At 38.5% G+C, this 11,449-nt stretch overlaps 3 pseudogenes, besides 2 other annotated features; 1 reads left to right on the forward strand and 2 right to left on the reverse strand.

Moving 5' to 3' along the window:
- On the reverse strand, window positions 2,674–3,325 carry RPS7P8 (ribosomal protein S7 pseudogene 8; annotated as a pseudogene).
- Window positions 3,671–3,809, reverse strand: RNU4-70P (RNA, U4 small nuclear 70, pseudogene; annotated as a pseudogene).
- Window positions 4,391–4,450: an enhancer, noted in NCBI's record as "active region_24843". NCBI's record gives its function as "activates an Ori minimal core promoter by ATAC-STARR-seq in GM12878 lymphoblastoid cells {active_cell/tissue: GM12878}" and the evidence as "EXISTENCE:reporter gene assay evidence [ECO:0000049][PMID:35858748]".
- Window positions 6,345–6,434: an enhancer, noted in NCBI's record as "active region_24844". NCBI's record gives its function as "activates an Ori minimal core promoter by ATAC-STARR-seq in GM12878 lymphoblastoid cells {active_cell/tissue: GM12878}" and the evidence as "EXISTENCE:reporter gene assay evidence [ECO:0000049][PMID:35858748]".
- Window positions 7,570–8,344, forward strand: TYMSP1 (thymidylate synthetase pseudogene 1; annotated as a pseudogene).

Raw genomic sequence — 11,449 nt, forward strand, 5'->3', positions numbered from 1 at the left:
TATTACTTTTTAGGAAAGCATACTGAAAAAGAATATATAACAGGACAAAACACTCTCCCATGAGGCTTTGAAACAGATCTTACATAATTAAGTGCCAAGAATAATAATTCGTCTTTTTGTTGTCACACATTCTACTTATCTGAGAAGGCAAAATGGAAAATCAGAAAAGAACAGATCTCAGGGTCCCTGCTTTCTCATGTGTGCTATTTATTTTATGTTTTTTTCCTTCCTCTCTGAAGTCTTATTTATTTACATGTGCAAACACTGTCAAATCTCTTCCAGTTTTCTCATTCCCAGACAAGCTTCTAGAAAGAAGAGTCTGCTCCCAGTGGCTCAGTTTGCTTTCATCATGCTTGGCAGCACCTCTGCTTTCTGCCCTCTGACTCCTGAGCTCCTCGGACCACCAACATGGTGATCACCCACTTAGTTGCTAAAGCCAAGGGACCTGTCTACATCCAGTTCCAGTTTGGGCATGCCGAAACACTCCTGCAAATTGTTACTTCCCAATGTTCCCCACTTGCCCTTCTCCCAAATCTCTGGTTTGTTATTCTTAATTTCTTTGGAGGCCTCCCTTTTCCTTAAATATTGGTGTTTCTATTTTTTTCCCTCTCTCTCCTCACTCTACATACTCCTCTTAGATGTAGAACGAATTCATTCCCATAGCTTCAAGTTCCACGTGGGTCCCAGTGAATCCTATTTGTAGCACAACTTCTGTCCTGTCAATCTTCTTTATCAGACAAATCCTCTTAGATCTAGCCAGTAGCTCAAACGCCACATTCCAGAATGGAGTTTAGTATCTTCCTACTGCCCAGGCTGTGCATTCTCCTGAGCTTCCTCCAATGGATGAAGCGACCTGTAGTAATAATAGTAGCTCACATTTATTCAGTATTTATTCTGCACCAGGGAGTTTGTTACTTTTCCTTTTTTTTTCTGACTTTTGTTTTAGGTTTGGGGGGTACATGTGCAGGTTTGTTACATGGTAAATTGCGTGCCACTGGGGTTTGGTGTATGAATAATCCCATTACCGAGGTAGTGAATATAGTACACAGCAGTTAGTTTTTCAACACTTGCCTCCCCACTGCCCTCTCTCCTCTAGTAGTCCCCGGTGTCTCTTGTTCTCATCTTTGTGTCCATGTGTACTCAAGAATCATCTATGACAAGCCCACAGCCAACATCATACTGAATGGGAAAAGCTGGAAGCATTCCCCTGAGAAGCAGAAAAAGACAAGAACGTGCACTCTCACCACTTCTGTATGATTTTCATATGTGCTCTTGCATGTAATGTTCACTACAAGTCTATAAAGGAGGTACAATTGTTATCCCCATTCTATAAATGAGAACAGGAAGCACAGCATGATTACAGAACCTTGCCAAAGCCACACAGGATAACGGACAGTCCAAGGGACTTCAGATTCAGATTCTTTACCACTTTGCCAGACTGCCTCTCTTCCATCTCCTGCTCTCTTTCTCTGATTGATAACATATTTCTTAACCTGATCTTCTCTGCAACAGCCTTAGTTTAGTTTTCATTATTTGTTGCCTTGATTGCTTTATAAAGGCTTCTTTTAAAATTATTTACTATAGCTACTATACAATGGAGCTATACTATAAAGTATATTCTCCATTTTACTTTGGGAATCATCTTCAAAACACCAATCTGATCACGTTAAACCACAGACCCTCTCTATGACATAGCAGGTCTTTCAAGATTAGATTCCTGTCTACTTACCCAGTCTCCTCTTTCTTTTGTATTCAAAGATGTTTTAATCATACCAATACATGCACCTGGTTTAAAATATATATATTAGATTGAAGCATAGTAAATCACTGATATTTAACCAATTTCAGTCTACTAAATAGCAATTTCATATTCGGCTTATTATTACTGAAGTTTATAATGGAAAACAGTAGCTCCTTCCTTTGTTCCTCCTTAGTGCCAAATATACTCTCCAGAGACAACCATTTTTTATCATTTCAGTTGGTTCCTGATGTTCCCTTCATATTTCTCATACTATGCTAAAAGAGTTTAGGTTTGGCTCTGACAAGCTCAAAGCCATGCCTCAAATAAGAGAAACAGGGTTTTTGTTTTTGAGTTTTTCTCTTACATAAAAGACTTGCAGTATAAAGAGCCAGACTTCTCCCAGTTCACATTCCACTGCCACTAGAATGTAGCCTCTGTCCTCACAGTCTGAGGTAGAATCTATGTTTTAGAAATCAAGATGGGGAAAATAAACAAAGACAAAAAGGCAAAGGGCACATGGACATGCTGTTCCTTGAAGGATTTCAGGTGCTGTCACTTGAAACGTGTATGTACAACTCATGAGCCAAAACTTCATCCCAGCCTGGAGGGTGGAGAAGTACTGCTTGCACTGGCCAGCCATGTGCCAAAGCCTCCTGTTGGACAAGGAGAGACAGCTTCTGGGCGACCTCTAGAAGTCTCTTCTACATAGGTATATACTTCTCTATCTAGATTTATCAATACTTCAGACTTTATCTTTAAATTTCCATATATGACACACGTGCATTTAACTTCTATACTCTCACCTCCTCTCTCTTATTTCTTAAATATAGTTAAAAGCTACTTTTAGTTGAATCCATATAATCTGATTCAGAAAATATAACTCGCTGCAAAGAAAAAGTTATCACAACATTATTATTATTTTCTTTTTTTCTTACTGTGAAAATATTTTATTTAGTCATTTTTATTTACAATTGAAACTCTGGGAATTCAAAATTAACATCCTTGCCCGTGAGCTTCTTATAGACACCAGAAAAAATTTCAACTTTGTGTTCCACATTGTTCTGCTGTGCTTTGTCCAAATGAACCTTTACGAGCAGGCCACCGTCCAGTTTCATGCAGATTCTCTTGCCCACAATTTCACTTGGGAAGACCAAGTCCTCAAGGATTGCGTCGTGCACAGCTGTCAGGGCACGGCTCCTGGGATGCTTTTGCTTATTTTTCATACAGCTTTTTCGAGTTGGCTTAGGCAGAATTCTCCTCTGAGTGATAAAGACAACATGCTTCCCACTGAACTTTTTCTCCAATTCGCTACTAGCTGGACTTGGATTTTCTGGAAAGATTTCAGTTTAGGAACGGGAACAAAGATTATGATAGCTTTCCGACCACTACCAACTTCAGTTTCTTTGGCTGCCGTAATATTCAGCTCCCTGAGCTGAGCCTTGAGGTCTGAGCTCATCTCCAGCTGCAGAAGAGCCTGGGAGATGCTGGGCTTGAGCTCGTCCGGCTTCTCGTCATTGGGCTTCATGATCTTGGCGCTGGAACTGAATATGGCCTTTTCCTTGCTGAGCGCCAGCTTAGGAAGAGGATCGATACATTATTTTTTGTAGAGCTTTTTGTTCACTATTGTGTCACCTTTTTAAAAATTCTTATTTTTTTGCTTGCCTAATTTTCATTTAAATGTTGTTAATACTTTCCTTCATCTCTAAGTTACCACCGACAATTTCATCTATTCCATTGGGTCTACTTTTTTTCTGGATGGAGCTCTGCATCATGGGGGCCTTCATTCTCCTGCTCTGAACAAGGATGGTTGCTCTCTAGGCCCTCTGAATGGTTTTCAGCCAGGCACTTCTTTTGCTACTCTCCTTTGTTAGAGACATGCTTCCCTAGATTCTATGTTTGCCTCTTTCTTTGTCTTTTTTTAAATCTTGGTCACTAGAGACTGTCAAAAATTGCCAATACCGACTATGTTTCAAGTTGTCATGGTGGGATATTGGGAAACGTTATCAATTAGCAATAATTGCACCTGGAATAAACCTCACTGGCTACCATACTCCCACTGTGCAAAGCTTATGCTTTCCTCTTACTTGATTTATTCCCGTATTTTGCTGGAACACACCCTCCATTAATCGCTTAACAAAGGTTCCATGAGGAGGTCTTCATCTGTTCTTTTCATTGTTAAGTATCAAGTTCTCAGTAAGATACATAAAGATAGATAGATGATAGATGATAGACCAATAGACAGACAGACAGACAGACAGAGGGTGGCTGGATGGATAGATGATAGATAGATAGATAGATATACATACATACATACATAGATAATGAAATGGATTGATGGATGGATTAATATAGAGAGAGAGGGATGGATGGAGGAATAGATAGATAGATAGATAGATAGATAGATAGATAGATAGATAGAGTGAGCTTTTCCTTAGAATTTTGAAAACCATCTTCTACTCTGTCATTGTTCCTAGACTTTCTTTGAGATGTCTGGTACTATTCTGATTCCTAGTCCTTTACATGTGTCTTTTTTTTCTAACACTCAGAAGGTATTTATATCTGTGTTCTGAAATTTACTTTATGTCTGTGCTCTGCAGTTTCACTATGAAGTGTCCTCGTGTGGGTCGTTTCCATTCTTGGCACTGGCGACTTGGTAAGGCTTCTACATCTGGATATTAATATACTTCAATTCTAAGATATTTTACTGTATTTCATTTTTATCATTTCCTTTCTTCCATTTTCATTATTTTTTCTTTCTTTTTGGAGCTTAGTCAGATGTGGAACTTCCTATATTTATCTTCTAAGTATCTTCTTTTTTCTAATATTTTCCACCTCTGTTTTATTTATTCATTTTTCCTTTTTTGAGACAGAGTCTCACTCTGTTGCCAGGCTGGCATGCAGTGGCATGATCTCAGTTCACTGCAACCTCTGCCTCCCAGGTTCAAGTGATTCTCCTGCCTCAGCCTCCCAAGTAGCTGGGACTACAGGCACATGCCACCACGCCTGAATAATTTTTTGTATTTTTAGTAGAGTGGGGGTTTCACCATGTTAGCCAGGATGGTCTTGATCTCTTGACCTCATGATCCGCCTGCCTCGGCCTCCCAAAGTGCTGGGATTACAAGTGTGAGCCACAGCGCCCAGCCTTCTACCTCTGTTTTTTGTTTGTTTTTTGTCTTTTAATTGAGACAGAGTCTCGCTCTTTCACCCAGGCTGGAGTGCTGTGGTGTGATCTCGGCTCACTGCAACCTCCACCTCCACCTCCATGATTCTCATGCCTCAGCCTCCCGAGTAGCTGGCACTGCAGGTGTGCACTACCACAACCAACTAATTTTTTTTTTTAAGAAGAAATGGGGTTTCATCATGTTGGCCAGGCTAGTCTCAAACTCCTGACCTCAGGTGATCCGCCCGCCGTAGCCTCCCAAAGTGCTAGGATTACAGGTGTGAGCCACCATGCCTGGCCTCCACCTCTGTTTTTATTGTATTTTGAGAAATTTTCTTGACTTTATGTTCCAAACCTTCTTTTTTATAATTCTAGCCACCTGATTTTTTAATTTACCTGTATGTTAATTTTTAAAGTTGTTTTCTGGGACTTTTTAATAGTTACAGCATGTTCTCACAAACCTTAAAGTTTTAGTTGGAGCTGTGAAATTTTTATTTGGGAGAGGTTAATTCTGATTTATGCATTTTTTTGCTGTGGGCACTTTCTCTGTATGTTTATTTTATTTGTTTGTCTTTAGCTTTACTTTTATGCCAAGAGATCTTTGGTTTGAGTACATACTAAAAATGAAAGCTTAAAAAGCTAACAGGCAGCTTTCTAATATGGATGAAGTATGTCAATTCACATGTTTCACTATGGATTGACCCAGTGGGAACCACATTTTCACTGGCGATTTCTAAACATCAATATGTGAAGAATTTTCCCTGAAGCCATTCTATTTTCCAGAAGAGTTCTCCTGTCTCCTGATTGGAATATGTGCAACAAAGGCCAGATAGGAACAAAGGAATAGAGATCAACCATCCTTGAGTGCAGCTCTTCAATCAATATTACTAAATTTTCCCTTAATTTCAAGTATTCACTATTTAATTCCTATAGAAAAAGAACCTACAATCTTTTGTCTGAAAGCTACAAATCTAGTTATTGGTTCAACTAGTTATTGGATAGAAATAAGAGCTGAGATTCCAGTTCCATATTCAGATGTGTAAGCCATTCCTTTGTTTGTACCATTTTTAGTTCTGGACTTTACTTCCTATATTCTGAAATATATACCATCCTGACCCTTTGTGCATTTGGGGGGACCAAAAAAAAAGCCCTTCTTCTTCTGTATAAGCTTCTACACTGATAAGTACATAGTTTTTATCCTATCCAGAACTGATATCTAACTGACATTCACCAGGTTAGCCATGACAGTTCATGAAACAGAAATACTATTGTCCTTCTTGGTTATTAGCTACCTCTCCAGAATCCCTCACACACACACCCCCCACCACATCCTCTCCCTGGGAAACCCCCTTTTCACATGCACCCACACGACTCTTCACAGGAAGCAGATGGTGCACAGAAAATGGGAGCATTGAAGGATTTAATGAAGAGAGCATTTACAGCAGCATGAAGAGGGTTAAGGGAAACCAACAAACAAGGGATGGGACAAGACACCAGAATCATCAAGATTAGAAAGCTATTACCTCCTCTAAGCCTGAAGAGGCAAGAAAGGAAACTGTTGGTGCAGCTAAGCAAAGCTATAGCTATAGAATGGATTACCCTACAGAAACTGTGGTCCTAGGTAGAGGATAGAAGGCACACAAAACCATGGCTCAGCAGGGAAAGAACCAATAGAATAATGATCCTGATACCCCTGATGCCTCCTTTAGCTGAACCATCAGGTAGTCAAAAAGCAAGGGAGTCCTCTCAGCTCTAAAAGCTTAGTGAAGAGTACATCTAGATAAGCCAAGGGGTGACAGAGACTGTGCAGCACACAACTGGTTCAGCAGAGGGTCTCCAGGAAACTCTTCTGCACGACAACAGGCAGTTCTTTCTGATTGCTTGGGCCCTGCATCGTACTTATTTTTAAATATTTTAAATAACATTTCTGCTTCTATGAACTTCCTAAATTCACAAACTATAACAATCTTTCATCTACTAACATCCCCTCTCTCATTCCCTTTTTCTCTGTGGATTTACACCGACTGTACATGGGAGTCAGAGGAAAGGGGAAATGATTTATTTCATTTTAATGGAGTCTCAGGAGGCAGGAGCAATAATTGCCTGTGAACAACCTGGCATCTTATCCAATCAAAACACTACTGTTTCCCTTGATTCAACTACTTCATCCATTTGTAGATCTTTATAAATGCTATGTCATCTCACACCACCAAGGCATTTTTCATCTAACTAGAATAACCCTCATTTACCTAGATAACTCCAAATCTTTCTATAGGTCAGCTCAAAAATCACCTCCCTTAGGGAGCCCTGCCCGGCCCTTCCCCAATCCATCCTAAGTGCCCTCCTGTGTGCTTTTATAGCACTGTGTGCTTACCGCTATCGCCACACTTTTCCCATTTTGCAGCAATTGTCTATGTCTACTCTTCAATGAACTATTAGCCGAAATAGCATATCTATGTTCAGTGGTTCTCAATCTTATCAGACCAAGCCCTCCTATTTATAAGTATATTTAGTCCTTTTACTCTCCTAAAATGAAATCCATAGTTAATATATCCTACATAAAAACATGCTTCAAATACCAAGAGGCCTGATGGCTTTTGCAGCAAGAGTGTAGCACAGATTCCTGACATTCACCTTCTTGGGCCAGAAGCCAGGGCTGCATCTCTGAGGCCAACTGCAGTACCCAGAGAAGATCAAGCACATTCTGCCCTGGCTTCAGGAGGACTCACTAACACCCTGTGCATGTTCAGCATGCAGTGCCTTGAACAGAAGAGTTTTCTTTGCTGGCAACCAAACATGTATCCTGCAGAGGTGTTTGGAGGAGTTACTGTGGTACTATGTTATATATACGATTTATCCACAGATGCTAAGTAATTGCCTCCAAGGGAGTAAAAATCTGGAATGCCAATGGATCTCAAAATCTTTTTGGGCAGTCTCGGGTTCCCCACCAGGAGATGCATATTTGGAACCAGCTTATGTAAGACATCAGTGGAGACATTGGAGACAGAATGCAGAGAGATTAATCCTGATTATTCAGGTTAAGGAGTAGACCAACTGCCAAAAGTTATTGACACAATGAAAACCAACCACAATGACAAAAGAATCATCAAGTGTGCTTAGAAGTCAAAAAAATCTCCCTTTGATCGTTCTGGTGTCATGTCAGTTGCCAGTTTGATGGTGGGTAGTGAACTTTACCAGGGGTCAGGAAACGTGGGGCCCTGGTGCTTTTTAGCATCACATGATCCCACACATCATAGACCTGAAGCCAAGTGACTCTACATATTTTGGAAGATGCTCATATATACCTAAATCTCATTGAGCCACTGAAAATTAATTAGACATTTCTACAAGTTCAGAACATTAAAAAAGTTAAGATAATTAGTGATGTTAAAGCTGAAGATATTCAGATTAAAGGTCATGGCATTCATCTAACTATTAAAATTAGAAATGTTTGTCTGAAATGCCTTTGCATATTTTCAGGATTTGATCAGTCTTTTGGAGATGGTCTGACTACCCTGGTGAGATTTTTATTTGTGCTTCAAATGAAAAAAGAACTAGGTCAAAACCACATTAGTATCCTATCAGTTACTATGCATCATTAAAAACAGCTTCCACTGGGGATAATTCTTTTAGTAAAAAAGGCTCACCTTTTTAGAAAAACAATACCATTAATGTGATTAAGAATGTATAAAAATTCTAGCAGTATGAAAAAGATAAGAAGATTGAAAGTTTATATACCCTTAAAAAATGCATGCATTTCAAACCTACATCTGTATGAAGAAGGTGAGTGAATTTCAAGTGTTGTATAAACAATATCACTTTAGCAGTATTTAAATACTATCAATCACAATATACAATGTAGCTATAGTCTTTTGAAATATGTTTTATATATTTCTATAAATATTATAAATCAGCATTCTGTTCTCAAATCAACAAAATGCCCTCAGTATAGTATAAGAGCAATAAGAAAATTATGTATAATAAATGAGACTAAATCATTGATGAAGACAAGTCTTAAATTAGTCAGATGTTTGCAACTATATGAAGAATCACGTCGAATATAGTAGCTCCTAATGCAGTTATAGGTATGTGACCTAAAAGACTCAAACCTAAAGAGACTGAACAAAGCAAAGGGTAATCTTATCGCAATTTACGTAGTATATTTGCATTCTTGAAAAAAATCAGCATATTTGAGTTAAATGGAGTTGGACTCTGGACTCAAATAACTACAAAAACAAATCTTTCATCTATTGTCTCTAGACACATTTTAATCTTTTTGAAATTAGAAAATTCATCTTACAGTCAATGGCTTCTTACAGTCTCTTTCAATCAGGTTGCAGCCAAGATGAGGAAACTTGATCAGTTGTTCATATCCTCATCACTTCAATTGGGTTATCTGCTTTGCAGGTATTACATGTGTTGAGTTTAATTGCTATATAAAATGTCATTTAAAGAGATTATATTATGAAGCAGCATCAATACAAATAATTATTCACAAGCGTGGAAGCAGGAAAGTGGACATCATTTTGAAATTACAAAGTATTTGTCATTGGAAGAATAACTATCATTCAATATTTTTTCCCAGAGGAACCTCGAACTGCTAGAGCACATTTTTTTTTTTTTTTTTTTTTTTTTTTTTTTTTTTTTTTTTTTTTTTTTTTTTTTTGAGATGGAGTCTTGCTCTGTCACCGAGGCTGGAGTGCAGTGGCACAATCTCAGCTCACTGCAAGCTCCACCTCCCGGGTTCACGCCATCCTCCTGCTTCAGCCTCCCGAGTAGCTGGGACTATAGGCACCCGCCACCACGACTGGCTAATTTTTTTTTGTATTTTTAGTGGAGACAGGGTTTCACAGTGTTAGCCAGGATGGTCTCGATCTCCTGACCTTGTGATCCACCCAGCTTGGCCTCCCAAAGTGCTGGGATTACAGGCATGAGCCACCACACCTGGCAGAGCACATTTTTTTAATTAAAAAAAGAAGACACCATGAATAAATGTCTTACATTTTCATAATGAAATATATGCAAAGATTAACTATTGTATGCCATTCACTGCAACAGAAGGCAGAAGAATTTGTAGATCCATCTGAGTAACAAAAAGGAGGAGTATTTGTAGGTTGCTCAGAGTAGTTAAAAGAAATTTCAGAAGAGCAAGAGCTGTTGAGACTGATGTGTGTGTTGTGCAGAACTATACTGAAGGAATTGTGTCAGAGTATAATTTGCAGTGTTCCTCCTTCTCAGTTATATATACAATTATAGTACATCTTAAAATCAATGGTATCTTACATTGAGTGAAATATGGCACTTAAATGTCTTGCAAAATATTTCAAAATCCTGTGGAACTTGGAATAGTTCTTCATTGTGAAGGACTATCCTACAAATTGTAAGATATCTAGAATGTTTGGCTCCTGGCCACCAAATATCATGATAGACAGCAAAAAGAAAAATCAAATAAATTGCAAAACACAACTGGGGATGGGAGTGGGAGTTGAGTACTGCTTCTGTTAGAAACTACTATCCTAGAGCTTATCCCAGGAACTAGTACATAATAGGTGTTCAATAAGTGCTTTTTGAAGGATGATTAATTAATTACTAAACTTTAAAATTTCCCAATAGGTTAAATATTGCTTGCTCAGTCATTCACCATTGTTTGAAAGTGGATCATTTGATTATTCATATTATGGGCTTTAGTTCTCTAGTGTAAAATTTTTGCCCTCCATTTAATAGTGCATTGTTTTAGCAACTGAGATCATGGTATGATTCATTTTATTATTCACACACACACACATTCAACAAATACTGATTAATAGTTTACCATGAACCAGACATTGTACTAAATACTGTGAAAACAATGTAAAATAATGTATATATAGACTGTTCCCTTGCTTAGCTTACAATGTCAAAGGCAGGAAATTTATAAAGCAATAACAATAAAATAAGATAAGTACTCTGGAAGAGAGCAGGGGGTAGAAATGGGATTCATTTGAGTTTTAGTCATACTAATTCATTTTGCCAGTGGTAGATACATTCCTATTTGGGTTGCAGATAGCACTGTAACTTCAGTGTCTCTGGAGGCTACTATAAAAATCCCATTTCTGTGAGTCTTTAGCTCAGTAGAGAAAATGATTGGCAGCACGACTGTGGGTATGGCATTTTCACTTTATATTGATAATAATGAAGGATACTTTAAATGACAAATATTGAAATGAGAATGTCTATTCAAGCTTTTAGCTCACATTTATTTTCACAAAAGCTCTACAATTTCAGTCTCAAAATGGGCCCAGTAGAAGTGCTCAGCAGTGTGCTTTGAAGAGCTGTCCAGCAAAATATGTCCTAAACATTCTTCAAATTGAACACAAAGTGACCAACTAGATGCAGTCCCAAAAATGCCACTCCTACTGAGAGAGACCGAATTATCGAGTAAACCACCATAATTTGGGCAGATCTTCAGAGAGAAAATGCTGAGGGTGGATGGAGAAGTGATGCAGGAACCAAGGCAGAAGAGGGATGGAGCTGGGAATCCTGTGTAGGATACCTGAATGCCAGGGCTA

This window comes from Homo sapiens, chromosome 6 (genome assembly GCF_000001405.40).
Source record: "Homo sapiens chromosome 6, GRCh38.p14 Primary Assembly".
Classification (NCBI taxonomy): Eukaryota; Metazoa; Chordata; class Mammalia; order Primates; family Hominidae; genus Homo; species Homo sapiens.